A 23,903-nucleotide genomic window follows, 5' to 3' on the forward strand; every position below is an offset into this window, starting at 1 on the left:
TAGTGATTTTGTTTTGGCATAATAACTAGTCTTCAAAACATAACCTGTTATGTATATACATAAAGATTCAACTTAGTTTTTCTTAGTGTTTTTACTTCAAAGCAACAATATACTTTTTTTTTAAATCTTAAAATAAGACTAGAAGGCTTTTATAAAGGAAATTACATAACTGTTCCTTAAATTAGAAATGACACATCAAAGATTCTTTTCTAATTATTGGGGGGGCTTGCTTTAGATTAGTATCCCACAGATGTCAAAGGAAATGTCAGACATAGCTAATTGTCATATTAGAAACTGAGCCTGACTAAATAAGTAGCTATAGAGGTTATTCTTTCAAACAAGGCTAAACCACATTGACACAGCCATACAAGAAATGTCAACAAACCAAGACAGAGAACAGTGATGCATTTACAACAATTTTCGGTTGATGGTGTTTTAGAGGTGGAGGCCAAATTCACGTGTGCCTCGGTGGGAAGATATCTAAGATATCTAAGGATATCTAGTAGAGATCTCTGCTGTACTTATGTTGAGAAAAGGGATTTGTTTTTGCAATTAAGTCTAAGAAAATTTCATGACAAGTGGTATTTAAAATTAGATTTTCTAAATGTCGTATGATTCATTGCCTTATTTTGTGCCATAGGGCCTAACTATGTTTGCATTTGTTTTTGAGAATGGTGTTTCTGTTTTTGGTAAGTCAATGTCTATTAAATCAGATACCTGTTTGTGGTTATTTTTCCTGTTAAGTCTCTTGCTCAGCAAACACTTGCCCTCATTACTCAAATCAGATCAATATTCCAATTCCAAATATTATTTTAGCACAAAGGTTATTGCAGGGTTTATAAGAATAAAGAGAAGTCTGGGTTGCCCTGTACAATAAATCATGGCAATGACCAAGACAAATGAGGGAATGTAAGGATGGAAAACAGCCTTTTACCAGGGCAGTCAAGACAAGAGAGGACAATTTGTATGCCAAATTTTATAAGTAGGAATATTGGATCAGTAAGTCACATATTGCTCTTTCTAATTCAGCCTCGTCTGTTTTTTGCAGTTTGAGACAAAGGAAGTCATTACATTGATTACCAGCACGTTGGACAGTAACTCATTTTTTTTTTCAAAAATAGATTTTAGTAGAACATTTTACCTCAGAGAACAACTGGTGGGGGTAAATACATAGGAGATGTGCAGCCTTGTCAAATTAGGACAAAGGACCATCTGTTGATTTACACAGCCTAACTAAAGAGGGTGAGAAAAACTGAAAACCCCGTAACTTCTGTGATCAGTAAATTGCCATCTGGTTGGGTAGTGCTCTGTATAAAAATACCTACTACTTTATTTTAATGACTATTTTCTAGAAATCAAATTCCAATATAGAAAATGCTGAAGTCTTAAAACACAGGATACGTATTGTAGTTCTATCACAATTCTGTTATATATCTAATTGTTGCTTAAACCTGGGAACCCTAGTTTAAGGGGAAATAAACAGCTTGATGAGCTTTTTGGGATGAGGAGAGAGGGAGTGAGGGTGAGAAAAATGATATCCTAGGAATAATGAGCATTGGAAAGGGCTTGGAGTTTAAAGTGAGGCATGAAGGAAAGTGTTTAGAGCACAATAATGAATTAAAATAAAAACAGTAGTGTGTGTCTCAAAAACTTAAATGTTTATTTCCCTACAGAGGTAGTTTTCTCTATACCATGTTGCCTCTCCAGAGTGCTTTTTTGATGTGTTTGTTTACTAATGCTTCTTTTTTTTCTTTTCCTTTTTTTCTTTTTTTTTAAATCCTAAAGGCTCGTGAAGAAGAAATGACTGCAAAAGTAAGGGACCTGCAGACTCAACTTGAGGAGCTGCAGAAGAAATACCAGCAAAAGCTAGAGCAGGAGGAGAACCCTGGCAATGATAATGTGAGAGGAGTTTGAGTTTGCTGCACATGTTTCTTGAAAACATTGTCATTTCTGTGATTTGACTAGCCTACTAACATACATACATATTTATCTCATTTAATCCTAATGAAAACCCTTTGAGATTTTTACCTCCGTTTTATAGACAGATAAACTAAATGTTCAAAGAGATTAAATAAAATGTTCAAGCTCACACAATAAGTGTTGTGGTGAGGATTTAAGCCAAATCTACTAGACCTCAAAGCCTAGGCATTTTGTTATTACCAGTGCTTCTCCATCTTTTCCATGGAAACAATAGCAGAGGAAAGTGAATCTTATAACCCTGGAGCATAGCTAAAAATGGTCCATTGTAAATGTGATACTTTTAGATTTTTGGATTTTTGTGCTAAAAATTCACGTTAATTTTATATCCTACTCTATAATACATCCTTAGTTGTAGTCACATAAAAGTGGTGTTTTTAGTTGTATATCATTAAGAAAAACAATTTCTATCTTTGTTTTGGCCAGTGGACCAGATGCAAATACAATGCAATGATTTGGGAAAATTGGACTGAATTCAAAGAGAACTGGCCTGAAGATCTAAGCTTTTTTTTTTTTTTTTCTTTTTAAGTCCTAATCCTTAAGTAAAATTGACACTATGAAAGGTAGACCATGTTTACTCCATGGCTTCTTGTCCTGCTGTGCACCTCAGCAGCACACACCCACAGTTGGGGAAGGCTGGCACTGTACGTTTCTACTGCCTAAAATGTTCTCACTCATCCAGGATGGTCTTTTCATAGCCCAGTCATGGGGGTAATGGGAAAGTGGGTGGTCACTATGACTTTATCCTGGAGAGGATTCGTTACAGAATGTCAGTTACCAGGTAACAATTTTTTACACCACCAGTTACATGGATGACTTACCCGCAGTGCAGAGAAAGAGCCTCTATAAAGAGCTTTGCTACTCTGTGTCACTTGGTAGGCATATGTCAGGTGTAAGCACTGAGCAAGCTGAGAGGACCATTTTCTGTTTCTTTAATAGCTAAGTTAGTTCTGTTTAAATTTTCTTTACTTTCTTTTTTTCTTTTTTTGCCATTTAGTCATGTAGTCATGACTTGAGTATTCCAGGTGCTATTATATATTACTTCTTTTGAGAAAATACATGTATTTAACTGTCTAACATGAGCGTTTCCTTAGTATCAAAGTATTAATATTGCATATAGTAACATTTTAACTTGTGTCAGGATGCCATAGAATATTGAAACATTATGAAATAAGAAGGACTTCTGAGTCCTTTACCTTGTGTCCTAAGAAAGGTAAGAAAATAGCCTTAATTTGGCCGGGAGAGGTAGCTCATGCCTGTAATCCCAGCACTTTGGGAGGCCGAGGTGGGCAGATCACCTGAGGTCGGGAGTTCGAGACCAGCCTGACCAACATGGAGAAACCCCATCTCTGCTAAAAATACAAAAAAAAAAAAAAATTAGCTGGGCATGGTGGCGCATGCCTGTGGTCCCAGCTACTTGGGAGGCTGAGGCAGGAGAATCGCTTGAACCCGGGAAGGAGGTTGCAGTGAGCCGAGATCGTGCCATTGCACTCCACCCTGGGCAACAAGAAGAGCAAAAGAAAGAGAGAAAGAGAGAGAGAGAGAAAGAGAAAGAGAAAGAAAGAGAGAAAGAGAGAGAAAGAAAACTTAATTTTTATTTCTACTCAACATTTTTTTTTCTCCTTTATTCTTCATAAATTTGTATCCTTCTGGAGCATCTTCTGGTGCTTCTGTATATCTTAAATTGCAATATGTATTTAGAGTATAATATTTTGTAAAACAAAACAGAACATTTGTTTAGAAGCACATATTTAAAGTTGCCTTACCTCAAGTCTGACCACTCCCTTGAGACTCTTAACCCTGACTTCCTTTTTCCTTATATCTTTATATTGCTTTGTTTTACTGTTTCTTATAGCTATTATTGTATACACTCATGTTTTTTCTTTCCATTTTTTCAGGTAACAATTATGGAGCTACAGGTAAGGCTAGTTCTTCTTTTTTTTTTTTTCTTTTTTTTCTTTGAGACAGATTCTCACTCTGTTGCCCAGGCTGTTGCCCAGGCTGGAGTGCAGTGATGCAATCTTGGCTCACTGCAACCTCTGCCTCCTGAGTTCAGGTATTCTCATGCCTTAGTCTCCCAAATAGCTGGGACTACAGGTATGTGCCACCACGCCCGGCCAATTTTTTTTTTAATTTTTGTATTTTTAGTAGAGATGGGGTTTTGCCATGTTGGCCAGGCTGGTCTCAAACTCCTGAGCTCAGGCAGTTCCCCTGCCTCGGCTTTCCAAAGTGCTAGGATTACAGGCCCCAGCCAAGACTAGTTATTCTTTGAATTTGTCTGAAAGTCATGCATTTTAGGGGTATTCAGTGTTATAAGTTAAAACTTAAAAAGACTAACAAAAATTTCCAAGCAGTGCAGAAATGTGTCTGGGCAATAATGAAACCTATGTGCATTTCAGATCTGACTTTTTGTTCTTTCAGACACAGCTAGCACAGAAGACGACTTTAATCAGTGATTCGAAATTGAAAGAGCAAGAGTTCAGAGAACAGGTACAGGCCTAATTGGTACCTTTTATTTTGAACTAAAGTTTCGTTAATATGTACTTGGATCTCAGCTACTTTTTAAATAGTTGGCTTTGAAATTTTTCAGTCTTACACCCAGGAAATTTTATTTCCAAATCCAAAGGTACTAGAGGTTTTCTCTCTAAATTCATGATCATATATATTTAAGCAAGAACATTTGTATCATATTATTTTTAATGCTTAACATTTTTTATAACAATTTGTGATCGTATAATGTATAGTAATTTATGTTCTACAAAGAAGTTATTTTTTGCTTTTATCGGAGAGAAAATAGTCATCTATCTTTGGTACTTTTTCCAAGTGGTTTAATTGTCCTAATTTAATTTTCCCATATATTATTGATGGACAATATATGTAAGTCAGTTTAAATAGGACCATGTGTGTACACCTTCAAGGATGCACAGTACACCCATACCAGGATATGTGGTATATGATCTTTAGTAAAGTCTTTTTCTAAACTCTGGGAGAAATAGTGGCTCAAATCAGCAGGCTAAGTTTGAAGGCTAAATCTCCTGGGATTTTCCCAGTTCTTTTAAAATTCATACAGACAAAAATCTTGATAATTGTTAGAACTGAGTGATGGATGGGTATATGAGCATTAATTGTACTATATTTTCTTGGAATATGTTTGAAATTTTTCATAATATTTCTAAAATTTCATAAAGATAGGTCCCAATGTGACTTTATTTTTTTGTTTCACTAGTGATTTAGCTTTTCCCATCTATTCTCAAGATTACTGCTTTAAAATTCTTAAGATCAAATCTTGAAAACTGCCCTAGCATAACAGTTTTTGTATTAGTTATTTTTACTGTGGGAATATACACATTAAAAGTTAACATTTTAATCATTTTAGAGTACACAGTTCATTGACATTTAGTTCATTTACAGTGTTGTGAAACCATCACTGTTACCCAGTTCCAGAATATTTCATCACCCCAAGAGGAAACTCCATACCCATTAAGCAGTCACTCCCCATTACCTCCTCCCCGTAACACCTAGCAACCACTAATCTGCTTCCTGTCTCTATGGATTTGCCTATTCTGGGTATTTCATATAAATGGAATAATAACAATACTTGACCTTTTATGTTAGGCTTTTTTTTTTTTTTTTTTGAGTTGGAGTCTGTCTCTGTCATCCAGGCTGGAGTGTAGTGGCACGATCTAGGCTCACTGCAAGCTCCGCCTCCCGGATTCACACCATTCTCCTGCCTCAGCCTGCTGAGTAGCTGGGACTACAGGTGCCTGCCACCACGCCCGGCTAATTTTTTTGTATTTTTAGTAGAGACGGGGTTTCACCATGTTAGCCAGGATGGTTTCGATCTCCTGACCTCATGATCTGCCTGCCTCAGCCTCCCAAAGTGCTGGGATTACAGGCATGAGCCACCGTGCCCGGCCTGTGTCGGGCTTTTTTTCAGCTTAGCGTGATGTTTCAAGATTCATCCATCTTAATAGCATATATCAGTATTTAATTTCTTGTTATGGCTGAATAATATACCATCGTATGGATATACTACATTTTGTTTATCCATTCATCAGTTAATGGACATTTGGGTTGTTTCCTTTTGCCTATAGTGAACAGTGCTACTAAAAACATTGATATACAGGTTTTTGTTTAAACACCTGTTTCCAGTTCTTTTGGGTATATACACAGGAGTGGAATTACTGGATCATACAGTAATTCTATGTTTAACTTTTTGAGGAACTGCCAAACTTTTCTACAGTGGCTGTACTATTTTACATTACCATCAACAAAGTATAAGAGTTCCAGTGTCTCCATATCCTCACCAACAAGTTTTTTGATTATTGCCATCCTAGTCAATATGAAGTGATACCTCGTTGTGGTTTTAATTTGCATTTCTCCAGTGACTAGTGATGTGAAACATCTTTTCATTGGCTTGTTGGCCATTTATATGTCTTCTTTAGAGCAATGTCTACTCAAGTCCTTTGTCCATTTTTTAGTTGGATTGTCTTGTTGAGTTGTAAATGCTCTTTATATGTACTAGAGACAAGTCCCTTATCAGATATTTGATTTGCAAATATTTTCTCCCATTCTGTAGCTTGTCTTTTTACTTCATTGATAGTGTCTGTTGATGTACAAAAGTTTCTAATTTTAGCAAAGTGTAATTTATGTATTTTTTTCTTTTATTCTGTGTTCTTTTGGTATCATATCTAAGAAATCTTTAGTTTTAGTTTTTTTTTTCGCAGAAACAATTCTTGCTCTAAACCATTTGTCTTAATTTTATTTGCCTATATTCTGTCTTCAGCATTAAAAAACCTTGTGGTGACAGCAATCTTTCTTTTTCTTACATACAGTTTCCCTGTGAATCTTATATGGTCTGATTATTTGTTATTTTTAGATTCACAATTTAGAAGACCGTTTGAAGAAATATGAAAAGAATGTATATGCAACAACTGTGGGGACACCTTACAAAGGTAAGGATGATCTCGTGTCATGTTATTAACTGTTATCTTTTATTGGTGGATTTGTGCATGATTTTTATTTTTGTTTTTGCTAATTTATATTTTTTTCTCATTTTAAAATTTTTAATGATTTTATTTTTTCTTAATTGACAAATGCATATATGTATAGTGTGCAACATGCTATTTTGAGTTATAGATTCATTGTGGAATGGTTAAACTAAGTGCATTACCTGACATACTACCTTTTTTGTGTGTGTGTGATGAGAACACTTTAAAATCTACTCTTTTCACAGTTTTCAAGAATACAATAAATTGGGTGGGGAATAATACAATACATTAACTGTAGTCAACCGTATTTTACAATAGATCTCTTGAACTTATTCTTCCTTATTGAACTGAAATTTTGTATCCTTTGGACAGCATCTCCCACCCCCCACAGTCCCTTATAACCACCAGTTTACCCGGCTTGAGTTCAGCTTTTTAGATTCCACATGTAAGTGAGATTATGTGGTATTTGCCTTTCTTCACCTAGCTTATTCCACTTAATATAATGTCCTCCAGGTTCATCCATGTTGTTCCAATGGCAGAGTTTTCTTCTGTTTGGAGGCTGAATAGTATTCCATGTGGTTAATCTGTTTTTTACAATGAATATATTTTACCTTTTAACAGCTGACTTTAAGGAAAGAAAGATAGTAACCTGGCGGGCGTGGTGGCTCACGCCTGTAATCCCAGCACTTTGGGGGGCTGAGGCAGGTGGATCATGAGGTCAGGAGATCAAGACCATCCTGGCCAACATGGTGAAACCCCATCTCTACTAAAAATAAAAAACATTATCTGGGCATGGTGGCATGCGCCTGTAGTCCCAGCTACATGGGAGGCTGAGGCAGGGGAATCTCTTGAACCCAGGAGGTGGAGGTTGCAGTGAGCCAAGATCATGCCATTGCACTAAAAAAAAAAATGATCCACCTGCCTCCCAAAGTGCAGGGATTACAGGCATGAGCTACTGCACCTGGCCCAAAGGATTTTAAAGATGAGCTTGAGTCTTTATGTGGTAATTCCCTTGAGATAATCAAGATCATTGAATAATCTTATATAACACTTATCCATTCTCTAAAGTTCAATTTCATTACCTCACTGTATTAAGAATAGTTTTATTTTGCTACATGTTTTGTAAACCTTTCTGCTTTCCTATGGGAAGCATGAGGACATAAAAACCATTTGGCATTCTCTTCTTTTGTGTTTTTGAAAGCTCTCATTACTATCAAATAATGTAAAATACTACACAAATTTTAACTAAATTAAAGGACTTGCTGTGGATCCTGTCCAAACTGGAGCTCCTCAAAAAGAAGTAAAAACCAGCCTGGAAATTTCCTATGCTCACTGCGGAGATGATTCTTGCTGCAAAGATTATTTACTATAGCTAAGTCACTGAATATCTCAGCATAGAACTAGACTGAATCAGCCTACAGCCATACCACCGTGAATGCTCCCAATCTCATCTGATCTCAGAAGTTAAGCAGGGTCAGGCCTGGTTACTACTTGGATGGGAGAACTATACTAAATCAATACTCAGCAGTGCATAGAGAATAGTGTCAATTCCTTTTGTTATTTTCCATGTAAGAATTTCCTACATAATTAATTTTTTCTCATATTTATGAACACATATATACAATTTATTTAATAGCTAACTCATAATACTAAGCGCTAAACACTTACAAACACGTTTTTGTCTTTTTTAAAACATTATTTTTCTCAGATTTCTCAAGGATAATATAGCTTATCTGCTCATTTAATCCTCTTAAAAACCCAAGCATTGTGGTGCAGTATGTACATTAATCTCTTCGTCATGCTGCCTCTTTAAAGAGTAAAATGAGGCCGGGTGGGGTGGCTCATGCCTGTAATCCCAGCACTTTGGGAGGCCAAAGTGGGTGGATCACTTGAGGCCGGGAGTTTGAGACCAGCTTGGACAACATGGCAAAACCCCATCTCCACTAAAAATACAAAAAATTAGCCGCGTATGGTGGCGTACACCTGTAATCTCAGCTACTCGGGAAGCTGAGGCAGGAGAATCGCTTGAACCTGGGAGGCTGGGGTTGCAGTGAGCCAAGATCACACCACTGGACTCCAGCCTGGGCAACAGAGTGCAACTCTGTCTCAAAAATAAATAAAGAGTAAATTGAGCACCTATCTTGCAGTACAAAATAAAACATTCCTAGTTCTTTAGAAGCCCCTGTGTGTCTGCCTTTACAATATCTTTATCCCTCTCATCATTTTTACTGTTTCCCCTGACTTTTCTTAATCATTATCTTGTTCTTTATCATTTACCACCTGTATTTATATTTTCAAGCAATATTTTGTTTAGATTTTGTTTGCTTTGTGAATTTATGTAATTCAGTCATACCATAAGCATTCTTGTATGACCTGTTTCTTTTGCTTAATATAAGGTTTGAGAGTTATCCAGATTGTGTGTAGTTGTTCATTTCCATTATATTAATTTTGTACATTCTTTTTCATTTTTCCTAGGACATGTGGAAATTTTTCTCTAGAATATATAAGAATGGAATTGCTAAGTCATAGGATATGAATATTTTTGTGCATATCCCATATTAGGTTAAGCCAAAATGTTTGCTATATTTTTTGTAGTAATTTCCACTTCCATCAGCAGTGGGTGAGATTTCTCACCACTCTAGCACCTCATCAGTGCTGGATATATAATTTTTTTTCTTTTTTGAGATGAAGTCTCGCTCTGTTGCCCAGGCTGAAGTGCAGTGGCATGATCTCAGCTCTCTGCAACCTCCACTTCCTGGGTTCAAGCGATTCTTCTGCCTCAGTTTCCCAACTAGCTGGGAGTACAGGGTTCCACACCCAGCTAATTTTTGTATTTTTGGGAGAGATGGGGTTTCACCATGTTGGCCAGGCTGGGTTTTTTGTTTGTTTGTTTGTTTGTTTTCAAGACAGAGTTTTGTTCTTGTTGCCCATGCTGGAGCGCAATGGCGCGATCTCAGCTCACCGCAACCTCCACCTCCCGGGTTCAAGCAATTCTCCTGCCTCAGCCTCCCGAGTAGCTGGGATTATAGGCATGCGCCTCCACGCCTGGCTAATTTTGTATTTCTAGTAGAGATGGGGTTTCTCCATGTTGGTCAGGCTGGTCTCAAACTCCTGACCTCGGGTGATCCGCCTGCCTCGGCCTCCCAAAGTGCTGGGATTACAGACGTGAGCCACCGTGCCCAGCCTGGCCAGGCTGGTTTTGAACTCCTGAACTCAGGTATCTGCCCACCTCGGCCTCCCAAAGTGCTGGGATTACAGACGTTAGCTGCTGCGCGCGGCCTGGCCAGGCTGGTTTTGAACTCCTGAGCCAAACAGTGCCCATACATTGCATTTGATTGATAAATTACTTAAGTCTCTTTTGAACTCCAGGTCCTTCTCCACCTTTGCTTTTATCATTTATTTGATGAGAAAACCAACTTACTTGTCATATAGAGTGGACCACATTCTTAATTTTCTGGATTCTGTCTCCCTGGAGTCCTCTGTTCCCTGGTAGGTAGAACTAGAGGCTTGAGCAGAGTTAGGTTTGATTAGATTTAGCTTTGCATGGACAATAGTACTTCATAAAGGAAGTTGTGTAATTCTTGTCTTACATCAAACGTTCATGACATATTTACGATTTTAAGATCTGTCACCCAGTTCCAGGTGTGATCCATCACTTTTCGCCAGATTTTAGCATCCATTGGTAAATTCCCTGATCTGTTACTTCAGTAGTGATTGCATAATGGTGTTAGTAAAATTCCACCATTTCTTGTGCATATATTAATTGGAATTCTTCTATAAATAGGAACTTTTCCACATTATCTATATGGTTACCTTGAGGTACAACTCAAACAAGAAAAGCAGGATAAATTCTGTCTGTTTACCCATTTCAGACTAACTGAAACTGGTCAGTGTCTCACTCTGTCATTCAGGCTGGAGTGTAGTGGCGTAGCCTTGGCTCACTGGGACCTCTGCCTCCTGGGTTCAAGCGATTGTCATGTTTCAGCCTCTAAAGTAGCTGGGATTACAGGCGCACACCATCACACCTGGCTAATTTTTGTATTTTTAGTAGAGATGGGGTTTCGCCATGTTGGCCAGGCTGGTCTCGAACTCCTGACCTCATGTGATCCACCCGCCTTGGCCTCCCAAAGTGCTGGGTCTATAGGCATGAGCCACTGTGCCTGGCCAGTTAGTCTGTATTTTTGAAGATCTGTTTCTGCTACCTCTAGTGTGTTTCATTGATCCGTTTGTCTATGCCTGCTCTAATACCTCACTGTCTTTTTTTTTTTTTTTTTTTTGGTAGAGATGAGGTCTTTCTATGTTGCCCAGTCTAGTCTTGAACTCCTGGCCTCAAGTGATCCTCCTGCCTTGGCTTCCCAAAGTGCTGAGATTTCAGGAGTGAGCCACCATGCCTAACCTTCACTATCTTAATAACTGTCACTTCATAATAAGTCTTGATGTCTGGCTGGGGAAGCTGTCCCACTTTTTCTTTAAGAATTGTTTATTCTTAACTCTTTGAATGTCCATAGAAATTTTAAAGTCATCTTGTTAAGTTACTTAATGCATACATACACATTCCTGGGAGGATTTTGATTAGGCTTGCATTTAATTTATAGAAAAAGAGAATTGGCATTTATATGGTATTGATTCTCCAACCCATAATCACAATATACCTCAACATTTATGTAGGTATTTAATGTCTGTCAGTAATGTTTCTTGGCTGGGCACAGTGACTCATGCCAATAGTCTGAACACTTTGGGAGGCCAAGGTGGGAGGATCACTTGAGCCCAGGAGTTTGAGACTAACCTGGACAATGTAGTGGGACCCTGTCTCTAGACAAAAACGTTAGCTAGGCATGGTGACATGTACCTGTAGTCCCAGCTACTTGGGAGGCTGAGGTGGGAGGATCACTTGAATCCAGGAGGTTGAAGCTGCAGTGAGCTGTGATTGCACCATTGCATTCTATCCTGGGTGACAGTGAGACCCTGTCTCAAAATAATAATAATGTTGATTGTTCTCAGTAGTAATCTTGCACCCCTTTTATTACGTTTATTCTTAGATGTGATTGTAAATGTAATATTTATTTTCTAACTAAATGCATATTTTAAAGGCATTATGCATTATTTGAGGAAACTCCAAGCAAGCTTATGTTATAAAATTATCTGTAACACACAATTAAAATTGTGTTAAATGTCAAGTGGATTTTTCAGTTATACACTTTGGAATTTGGCCCAGATAAAGTGTGGGTTTTAAAATGCTGAGTGATACCTAGACGAAGTTATTTGGGAAGACCCATTAGAGGCAACGAGTAGACAATTTGGAAAGCCTCTTTATTTGAACAATAGCTAATTTCCTCGCATAATTGCTTAAAACCAGAAATAAGAGCTATAAAGTCTTCTGTACCCACTGTTTGGGAGAAGTCAAGAAGAGACACAAGTATTGAAAAATAATATTAATTCTGTCTCCTGGAAAATAGCTATCCCAGCACTTTGGGAGGCCAAGGCAGGCGAATCATGAGGTCCGGAGTTCAAGACCAGCCTGACCAACATGGTGGAACCCTGTCTCTACTAAAAATACAAAAATTAGCCAGGCATGGTGGTGCACACCTGTAATCTCAGCTGCTCGGTAGGCTGAGGCAGGACAATCACTTGAACCTGGGAGGCGGGGGTTGCAGTGAGCCACCATCGCGCCACTGCACTCCAGCCTGGGCGACAGAGCGAGACTCCATCTCAAAAAAAAAAAAAAGTAATCTGCCTATTTAATAAAATTGCTTATTTTCTGAAAAGTGAAAAAGAGGTGCGTTTTGTATAGATCTAGAGGAATAAAATACTCAAATATGATATATAGAAGGATATATTACTCAGGGGAAATAATGTGTTTTCATTATTTAGTTCTTAAGAACTCTATACTTGCAAAGTATAATTTGAGTGAGTTGAGTCTTCTAAAAGTATGCACTTAAAAAAATATTCCAAATGTGAGTGCATGTAATGTACATGTAATGTATGGAGGCTATTTAACACCTCAGAATCCACCATCCAGAACATTGCCATTTCTTTTGAGGCTTCTTGTGCTGCTCTGTAGTCCTTATATCTCTGTTGTTTCCCAGTAGTAACTGCTGTTATTATATTACAACATAACTAGTTCCTTTAAAAAAAATCGATTTTAATGTTTTATATGTTTTGGGCTGTATAGAAATGACATCATACTGTATGTGTCCTATGTAAATTACTTTTTTTATCTAATATTATTTTGAGATTCATTCTAATGTGTGAAGCTATAATTTGACCATTTTCAATGCTGAATTTAATAATAATACATTATATCTTTATGTCACAGTATATTCTCTTGTTGGTGGGCATTTTAGTTGTTGCGATTTTGCTTTTATAAACAGTGTAAGTAAACATCGACTCCTACTGTACATATGAAGTGTTTCTCTAGGTTATATTGCTAATAATTGAATTTCTGTGTCATATAATATGCTTGTTTTCTATGTTACAAAGTTTTAAAAGCAGTGCCAAATTGTCATCTGTAGTGCTTGTTTTCAGTTTCCTCTCCTAGTAGTACACGAGTCTCCATTGTTTCACATCCTCACCAGTGCTTTGTATTGTCTGACTTTTAAGATTCTGCTCATCAGACATATGTAAATGACACATAACACAGTTTGTTTTCACAGAACAAATGGTTATTTAAATTCTAAACCCAAAGTAATGTACAATTACAATAAAAGGCCAGAAGAAAGAGGAGGAAGGAAAAAGATGTGAGAAATAAAATTGTTATAGTAATTCTTGTTTTCGCTTCCAAGCATAAAATAGTAATTGGAATGTTTAGTGTGCATGTGTGTATACAATGCAATATGATACAATATAAAAGCATGCCTCTCTTTGTTCCATTGGTTGTTTTTTAAATCTATTTTTATAAGTAATAAGTAGTTTACCTGGTTTTGTCTTTACAGTTTGATCTATTTTTTTATTTGGCAGGTGGCAATTTGTACCATACGGATGTCTCACTCTTTGGAGAACCTACCGAATTTGAGTATTTGCGAAAAGTGCTTTTTGAGTATATGATGGGTCGTGAGACTAAGGTATAAATCATGTCTCGTGATTTGGTGTGTGGCTTAATTTTAAAAGAAATATGTTCCACTTTTAATACACATGTGAATGCCATATGTTTACTATTAGCAAATCAGACATGCTAATAGTAGGTAATAGATAATTATTTTATTGCTCTTAGTTTACAAAGTGAATTGGTGGATCTTGCTTATATTTATTACATTTATAAAACATTAATTTTGAAAATACTATTGGGTAACACTGAACGCTAAACATTAAAATTTCATTAACATAAGAATAATTTGTGAACCATGTGGCTTTTTTTCTTCTTCATATCTTTAAGTTAGAAGAATAGATTTCATTTTCAAGGAGACTTTAGGATATTATGGATAATATTGGAAATAGTCATAATTATTAGCTACCTAGAGAGATTTAGAAACATTATGCTTTATAGTTACTGTAAGAAAATCCTTCTGCACTTGTGGAATATCGATCATTTAAAAATTACCCCATGTAAGTAATAATGCTTGGCTAATTTGTTTTCTAGAATGTTGCATTTATTGTAAGGTTCTTAAATGTAGAGTCTTGTCTTATTCTTATTTGTATCCCTTGCAGTGTTTTAAAAAGAGCCTTATTGGACATTTGGTAAATATATATTGAATTGAGTTAAATGCTTCTAGGGAAATTCATGAGCCTTTCTTCAAACAAAATTTTTCATTTAAAGCAGTTTCTGTTTTTTTGACATTTTTTACCTTCATGGAATTTTAATTGTCTGTGTGCCGTGGCTGAGAATGGGATAATGAATTTTCTATGCTCGAAAGCAATCAGTGTTTTAATGTATGGGTGTGTGGGAGTTGCTGAGTCATAGGATACTAAGCAGGTTCAAGCACTGATTTGGCAAATATATTTAAAACCTAAAAAGCAAATATCTTAAAATAATATTATAAAAGGAAATATCTTAAAAGAATATGATAAATGTATAGATTGGAGATTCAGCTAAATACCAGGAGTGGGTTAGAAGTCATTTGAATCCTTAATATCTGTAGAAATCACATTTCATTATATCAAGTTAAAGTAATATCTAATATTGTGAACAGGTATCACAGAAGGGAGATATTAAATCACAGCAATTCAGTGTCTTTTTTTTTCCTCAATGCCATTTTTCAAAAAGTTCAAGGGTAGCTAAAACTAATTTTCTCCTTATCTTTTAAAAACAAAACTAACGAAATACAGCTTTCTCTTATTATGTCCCTATGGGACATACACTATCTCACCTCAAATACAGGGTATATTATGTCCCTGTGGGGGGATATTTGAGGTGGGATAGATAGTTTAAAGTTACCTTGTTATTGTATTGGGGGTGGGGAGGAGAGGCATATCTTTAAAAAACAAAAAGCTTCTCAGAACTTTAGCTACCTTGGCTCATTAGTGAATCTAAAGCTATGATGCAAGGTTGTTACTAAATAATTTATTTAGCTTTTTCTTGATCTGTAAAATGGAGAGACAGACTGCCTTAACCTGTTTCTTCTGAAGGTTATGAATGTATGTGAGATGAGATAGCTACGGAGCTTAACTACCCTGAAGAAAGACCTAGCATAAGCATAAGCATAAGAGGCTTATGGGGCAGTACCAGTTCATCCAAGTCTAAGCTTGTGCTTCAGGGCTCTGCAGTTAATCTTAGAGTGTGACTTGGGAAGTAGCTGAAAGGGATGTCCCATGGCACAAGCAGCCCCATCTAATAAGCTGGCTGGGAATTTGTGTTGAGGAGTAGTGCTCTCTCTCCTCTTTATCTTCAGCGTCGATTCTCCTTTTCTGGCTCTAAAAATGAAGAGTAGTCTATCATTCTGCCATCACATTTTATAGGCAAATAGAAAATTGGTACTAGGTATTTACTTTTAAGTTGCTGCACATTTATTGAGCATGGCCCTTTATCACCATGGTAGATAGCAAGATGACATTTGATACCATCTCTAACTTTAAGGCGTTCACTGTGCAGTAAGGAAGGGAACTGTTCTCATTAACCATAATGTGATGATGAATGCAGTAAGTGCTGTAAGACAGAAACAGAGTCCTCATATTTACCTGTGAGAAGATCAAGGAGAACATCATGGAGGAGGTGGTGTGTATACTGGGATTTAAGAGGAGATGTTAGATTTTGATAGATAAGCCCAGATGGTGGAGGGGTAGCCCAGACAGGTTTCAGGCAGGAAACATAGTGTGGGTTTTTGAAATCACAAGTAGCCTGGTCCAACTAAAACGCTGGATTGATGAAGGGGAAGTAATTTAACTTAAGGCTGCACAGAGAATGCAGGGCCTTGAATGTTTTCAGAGTTTTACCTGTAGGTATTGGGAGGGGGTAGCCCTGAAAATTTTCAAGTAGGGATTTACAAGATCAGAGCTGTTTTTAGACATGTCTTTTGTGGGTTTGCCCAATTTCTATACATTAACAAAGAATTTGAAATGGAGACCAGGTTGCGGTTTTAGAATAAGTCGGAGTATGTTGTGCTCTTTGTGATTTGATTACCATCTGCAGTTGTTTCTTGTCTAGCAGGATTCATATGTCTTCTCACCTGTGTTTCTTCGTCTGCTTTTGTACACAGTGTTCTTTATTTTATGAGGCAGATGACTTTTTAAAAGAAGACTATATATAGTACATACGTTCTTGTAGTATGGAGTTAAGTAAGTTCCCTTCCTTCCTTCTGTCCGTATACTTTCTTTTTCTTGGGTTTTGATCCTCCATGCTAATGCTGAACCTGAAATTCAGCCTGTTCTCCTTTTCAACATAAAGTGTTTCTCATCCTAAGCTTTATTGAAGATGCCTCTCCCTAAGGAATACCTGGCAGGAGAGATCACTTGTAAATCAGGTGGCTCATTTGAACTTTTCCTTACTTCCCAGGGCCTGAGGATATTGTATGTAGAGTAGACAGTCTGATATCTTTTCCAAGGTGTGGCAAAGAGCCTGGGCTTCTCCATTAAAGTGTTTTCTGGCAAGCCAGGGATGAGCTTTAACTCTTCACTGGGTAATGAGCTGCAGATTCACTGATGAATTTAGAGGTGGGTTTACCATTTAATGTTGTCTAGAAACACGAAGAGACAACTAGCCACAGCTATATTTTTTCCCCAAACATGCTTGTGCATGCATGTATATGTTGTTTCTTAGTAAATATAAATGGACTTTTTGGTACTTGGAGCTTTATGTGGTGTTGATATTAGAGAAATGCTTCCTATAATTCTGAATCCCTGAATTTTAGATTTTTTGGTACTTATAAAAAAACCTTTATAGATAGTATACCAGAAACTGCTTCAGGTTATTATTAAAAAGAAAAAACTGAAATGGTTACTACTTCATATTTCTCTTTCCATTTCATGCCACATGTTTACAGGCATACCTTGGAGGTATTACGGGTTCAGTTCTAGACCACTGCAATAAATGAATATCACAATAAAGCAAATCACACAAATTATTTTGGTTTCCCAGTGCATATAAAGTTACATTTATACTATACTGTAGCCTATTAAGTGTTCAATAGGCATTTTGTCTCAAAAAAGTATATACCTTAATTTAAAAATACTTTATTGCTAAAAAAAAATGCTAACATTCATCTGAGCCTTCAGCAAGTCATAATATTTTTGCTAGTGGAGGATATTACCTCTATGTTGATGGCTCTTGACTAATCAGAGTGGTGGTTGCTGAAGGTTGGGGTGTCTGTGGCATTTTCCTAAGACAGCAATGACATTTGCCATATCAGTTGACACTTCCTTTCATGAGCATGTTTGATAGTATTTTACCCACCATAGAACTTCTTTCAAAATTGCGGTCAGTTCTCTCAAAATTGCAGTCAGTTCTCTGCTGTGGCTTTATCAACTAAGTTTATTTAATATTCTAAATACTTTGATGTCATTTCAACAATGTTCACAGCATCTTCACCAGGAGTAGATTCCATCTCAAGAAACCACTTCTTTGTTCATCCATACGAAGCAACTCCTCATCCATTAAAGTTTTATCATGAGATTGCAGCAATCCAGTCATGTCTTCAGGCTCTGCTTCTAATTCTGGTTCTCTTGATAGCTGCACTATATCTACAGCTACTTCCTCCACTGAGGTCTTGAATCCCTCCAAATCATCCATGAAAGTTGGAATCTTCTTCCAAACCCCTGTTAATGTTGACATTTTGATCTCTTCCCATGAATTACCAATGTTCTTAGTGGCATCTCGAACAGGGAATCCTTTTCAGAAGTTCTTCACTTTGCCCACTGTCATGAGAGGAATCATTACCTATGGCCACTATAGCCTTATAAAATATATTCCTTAAATAAGAAAACTTGAAAGTTGGAATTACTTCTTGATCCATGGACTGCAAAATGGATGTTGTGTTAGGCATAAAACAATTTAATCTTGCTATCTCCATCAGAGTTTCTGGGTGACCAGGTGTATTATCAATGAGCAGTAATATTTGAAGGGAATCTTTTTTTCTGAGCAGTAGGTCTCAACAGTGGGCTTCAGATATTCAGAAAACCATGCTGTTAACAGGTGTGCTATCATCCAGGCCTTGTTTCATTTCTAGAGCACAGGCAGAGTAGAGTTAGCATAACTCTGAAGGGCCCTAGGATCTTTGGGATGGTAAATGAGCATTGCCTTCAACTGAGAGTCACAGGCTGCACTAGCCTCTAACAAGAGAGCCAGCCTATGTATTAAAGCTTTGAAGCTTTTGAACTTCTCCTCTCTAGCTATGTAAGTCCTAGGTGGCATTTTCTTCAAATAGAAGGCTGTTTCATCTACACAGAAAATCTGTTGTTTAGTGTAAACATCTTCATCAGTTTTCTTAGCTAGATCTTCTGGGTAATTTGCTGTACCTTCTCCATCAGCACTTACTGCTTGTATTAGTCCCTTCTCACGGCTGCTAATAAAGACATACCTGAGAATGGGTAATTTATAAAGGCAAGAGGTTTAATTGACTCACAGTTCTGCAGGGCTGAACTAATGACATGAGGAAGGCCTCAGGAAACTTATAATCATGGTGGAAGGGGATGTAAACACATCCTTCTTCACATGATGGCAGAAAGAAGTGCCCAGCAAAAGGGAGAAAAGCCCATTATAAAACCATCAGATCTCATGAGAATTCACTCACTATCACAAGAACAGCAGCATGGGGGTAACTGCGCCCATGATTCAGTTACCTCCCATTGGGTCCTTCCCACAACACATGGGGATTGTGGGAACTACAATTCAAGATGAGATTTGAGGTGGGGACAGAGCCAAATCATGTCGCTGCTTTACCTTGCAATTTTATGATATGGAGATGTCTTCTCTCCTTAAATCTCATGAACCGGTCTTTTAGCTTTAAACTTTTCTTCTACGGCTTTGTCACTTCCCTCAGCCTTCATAGAATTGAAGGGAATTAGGGCCTTGCTCTGGATTAGGGTTTGGCTAAGGGAATGTTGTTACTGGTTTGTTCTTCAGACCACTAAAACTTTCTCCAAACTTCTATCCAGACCACTAAATGAAATAAGGCTATTTCATTCTGATTCGTGTGTTCACTGAAGTAGCACTTTTAATTTCCTTTCAAGAACTTGTTTTACGTTTACAACTTGGCTAACTGGCATACAAGGCCTAGCTTTCAGTCTCTCTTGGCTGTCAAAATGCCTTTCTCACTAAACTTAATTGTTTCTATCTTTTGATTCAGAGTGAGAGGCATGCGAGTCTTCCTTTTACTTGCATACTTACAGACCATTGTAGGGTTATTAATTGGCCTAATTTCAACATTACTGTGACTCAGGGAATAGAGAATCCCAAGGAAAAGGAAAGAGATGGGGGCTCAGCAGAACACAAGCAACATTTTTGGATTAAGTCCACTATCTTATATGGGCATGGTTTGTGGTGCCCCAATACAGTGACCATCATAACATCAAAGGTCACAGAGTACAGTAACAGATATTATAATAATGAAAAGGTTTGAAATACTGCAAGTATTATCAAAATGTGACACAGAGATATAAAGTGATCACATGTTAGAAAAATGGCACCAATAGACTTGCTTGACAAAGAATTCCCACACACCTTCAATCTGCAAAATAAAAACAAAGCCAAAAACCAAGAAACAGTTTCTGTGAAGCTCAGTAAAGTGAAGCGCAATAGAATGAGGTTTGCCTGTACTTGGTTTCTAGACTTCAGTTTAACACACAGATTCTGTTCTGTCTAGGCAGTACAGTTTAAATGATGAGGGTTTTTGTAAAATGCCTTTGGAATTTTCCAAGAGCTGAGTTGTCTTATGTATGTTATTGTTGTTGTATTTTTAACAACAGGGTCTTACTCTGTCACCTGAGTGATAGCGGTGCGATCGTAGTTCACTGCAACCTCAAATTCCTGGATTCAAGCAATTCTCCCACCTCTCCCAAGTAGCTTGTAATACAGACATGAGCCATAACACCTGACTAATTTTTAAGATTTTTTGTAGAGACGGCCATAAATAAAATAGCCATAATCCTGGCTAATTTTTAAAATTTTTTGTAGAGATGGGGGTCTCACTATGTTTCCCAGGCTAGTCTCTAAACTTTAGGACTCAAGCGATCCTCCCACCTCAGTCTCCCAAAGTGTTGGGATTACAGTTGTTAGCCACCATGCCCGACTGAACTTTTTTTACTACCAAAATAGCAGAAGATGAAAGATAAACGGAAGAAGAGGTCTGAAACTAAAGTCTTGCCATGTGTGGGATTTGTGAGTGGGGAGCAGTATTAGTTTATCTGTTAGTAGAAATAAGTATTGGAAATATGTGAAGTGTCTTGCCTAGACTTAGTGTATATAATAGGAGCTTTAAAAAAGTTAGTTCCTTTCCTTCCTGGAAATAATTGTGATACTTTTTTTCCTAATGACGTGAGTCTCCAAAATTTTTGGTTAACTATATTATCTTTTCCTTAATGACCTTCCCCAGATCACTTCCACTCTTCTCCCTTCCCCCATATGCAAAGTCTATGTAACTATGATCAAGGAATGTTAGAGTCAGTTTTCTGGGCTACCCTCCCATCCACGGTAGGAATCTTTAGAATACTACCACCTGATTTTGTATGTAAGCACTGAAGTTGTTATCCTACTTATTTCATAAGTGGTATCTTCTTTCCTCTCTGTCTCCCTCAAAACATCTCATCTTGATACAAAATAGGGAGTTTCAACCTTTGAGGAGAATTTTCCAGGAGCTTATGGGTGACAGTCTGACTTACGGTATATTTATTTAGATGTGCACAATTTATGATCTTGTTTTGCAAGCCATGTGTAATGTTTCGATTCATCATGTTTTCTACCAAATAAAACATCTTGTGTTTATTTAAAATGTAATTTGTATTTCTATTAGGTTGATGTGCTGCATGTCTTGAAAAATACCTACTGAGCATGTTCATGTTCATGCAGTAGCCGTGTTTATGAGATATATGATGTGATTTAGTTAAAGCTGAACATGGGGGGTATTTAAAATCTGATTATTTAGAACATATGTTTTGGCAATACATCACTTACTAGATAGATTTCTGCAAATAAGCCTTTTAAAATGAATATGTAATAAAGTTTTATTTAAATAAAGGGGCCAAGAGCATTAGAATTTTATATAGCTTCATGCTATTGTAAATGCATCTTGTTAAAATAATATGTGTAGACATTGTAAGGAGTCCTTTTAAATTGAAATTCTAGTGTTGTTATTTCCTTGACTAATACCTTCACATCATACTTCTTTGTTCGTGGCTTTCATTGAGAGCACTAAAGAATCCCACCAGCAGAACATGTCAGAATGGGTTGAGACTTTATATGCTTCACTGTCTGTTAGTGATCATCTCTTGTTTTTCTTGTAGACCATGGCAAAAGTTATAACCACCGTACTGAAGTTCCCTGATGATCAGACTCAGAAAATTTTGGAAAGAGAAGATGCTCGGCTGATGGTAAGTTCTGGAAGTGGGCTCTAGATAGAAGATGATTTCCCATCTGTTTATATTCTGTCTCATTTATAAGGACTTTTGAGTTGGTAAAATAAATTTTAAGATTTCAAATCTTTATTATATCACAGCCTGAAAAATGAGAGTGAATTTACACTAAGAAATTTAACCAAGGGTAAATGTGAATGGATGCCCTCAAGGGAAGGAAGAGTCTAATTTAATACCATATAAGAGCTTGACACCCGTATGTATGCTATATGACATTTCCAGAACTTGGGCTGTTTATGGAAAGGATGGAAAAGACATTTGTTCTGGTATATCCAGTAATAATTTTTTAAACCAAATTATATCATCATGTTAGATGATTTATATATTACAGTTCTTTATTGCATTCCAGTTGATTTCCAAATACATTAATTCTGGGTGAAAGAATTTAAGCATTCTTGAGCTTTTGATACCTTATGGGGGCAATCAGACAAACAATGAATTATTTTTAAAAACATAGTGTGAAGTCAGCTGTAATTGAAAAATGAAAGAAACACACACTTTGTAAATTATAAAAAATTCTCCATGCCAAAGTTATTTTTGCCCTGGGCCAGTAATTTAATAAGATCCATTCTAGGCAGAGTATGAAACTTGAAAAATTTGGGTCCTGCCTTCAGCTCTCTCTTTCTGCTTCTTTTCCTTGTCTTGATAGTAGCCTGTAGAGCCCTCCGTGAATACCCTTCTCCTCCCAATCTCTTTACCTATTTCATCATACCAGCACTGGTTTTATTCTCTCTCTCCTCACTAAAGCAAGCCAACATCTTTTCCTTAATGGTGGGTTAGCGTGTGTCTGAGCATCTCCAATAAAGAGCATAAGCCAGTAAGTCCCAAAGTATCTCATCGTATCCTAACAGATTGTTTTCTTACAAAAGTTCTTGATTCTCTTGAGCCCACATCTCCTTCTCTACATGATCACCTATTTGTTCTGGTTCTAACTCATAGAATTCAACCAAAAATCTGGGGATGGCCTAGATGGAGGGGTTTTCCTCCTCCCGGCTAAATAATACCTCTTGCACTTACAGCCTTTTATGAAGTTCCTCTGACTCTCTGCACAAGGTCAGCCCTGAAGGGACCCCAATATCTCAGGCACATTCTGACCACTTCTTCTTGGTCTCCTCTAAGCTCATCCTAGCATTCCCTGACCTTTGTCCCAATGCTTCATTGTATATTGTATTGTATTATATACTTATTGCCTATTTTCTGAGGCATTTGCTATTATTTTGGTTAGCATTTAATTGTTTTTTGTAAAAATCCCTCCTCTGCCACTCCCTGGCATTTAGTAACCTGAAAAGCAGTGCTTTAGTTATTTCTGCTTATAAATATTTTTGATAAAGAAATATGTCACTATAATGTATACCATTCATCAACAGAGAGAATGTTGTTTTAAATTATAATGAACATCTAATTCTACAAGCATGAAATTTTGTATTCATGAGTAGAAATTTTTCCTTTACTGAGTAAAATATCTTTATGAAGATAAAAATTTCTAATGCAGTTTGAGCCTGTTGACATAATTTTGTCATTATGGTCCAGTTTAAGAAAATAATTTTAAATGATATAAAAGGGCTTTTATTTAGTTATCTTTATTCATTCTTTCATAGCTGCTTTATCATCTTGATAAACATCTTGATGTTGGAATATGGCAAACTTTACTTCTACTGCATTTTCTCAGGATTTGCTATATAGTGTAGGCTCATCCTAAGTCGCTGCTCTAGCAAATGTGGTAGGAAACATTCCCCTTCATTCCATATACACATGTAGTCTTTGGTTGATTTGCTTTGATGAAAAACAAATCGAATTGGTAAATGTAGGTAGTGAATCGATAAAACTCTTAAAGCAGACAAAAAAGGTTTGTTTTTGTTAAGTTTAACTTAAAAAAAAAGAGTCTTTGAAAAACAGACTGTTTTCTTCCTGAATACAGTGGTATTCATTCTAGGTAGGGAT

General features: G+C 36.9%; 1 protein-coding gene and 1 pseudogene across 23 annotated transcripts in view; both read left to right on the plus strand.

The window, feature by feature from the left end:
- GOLGA4 (golgin A4) overlaps positions 1 to 23,903 on the plus strand; it is a 123,609-nt gene that overhangs the window by 89,997 nt on the left and 9,709 nt on the right. For 19 of the 23 annotated variants that reach the window (XM_047447981.1, XM_047447980.1, XM_024453457.2 and 16 more), the window contains 6 exons: positions 1,786 to 1,899; positions 3,876 to 3,896; positions 4,399 to 4,467; positions 6,857 to 6,932; positions 13,926 to 14,029; positions 21,834 to 21,920. In XM_047447981.1, the coding sequence (XP_047303937.1) occupies positions 1,786 to 1,899; positions 3,876 to 3,896; positions 4,399 to 4,467; positions 6,857 to 6,932; positions 13,926 to 14,029; positions 21,834 to 21,920 (471 nt within the window). The remainder of the gene's footprint in view (positions 1 to 1,785; positions 1,900 to 3,875; positions 3,897 to 4,398; positions 4,468 to 6,856; positions 6,933 to 13,925; positions 14,030 to 21,833; positions 21,921 to 23,903) is intronic. The other 4 variants (XM_005265071.4, XM_017006184.2, XM_005265074.2 and 1 more) reach the window with 1 other exon arrangement.
- On the plus strand, positions 8,382 to 8,499 carry RNA5SP129 (RNA, 5S ribosomal pseudogene 129; annotated as a pseudogene).

This window comes from Homo sapiens, chromosome 3, assembly GCF_000001405.40.
Source record: "Homo sapiens chromosome 3, GRCh38.p14 Primary Assembly".
Lineage (NCBI taxonomy): Eukaryota > Metazoa > Chordata > Mammalia > Primates > Hominidae > Homo > Homo sapiens.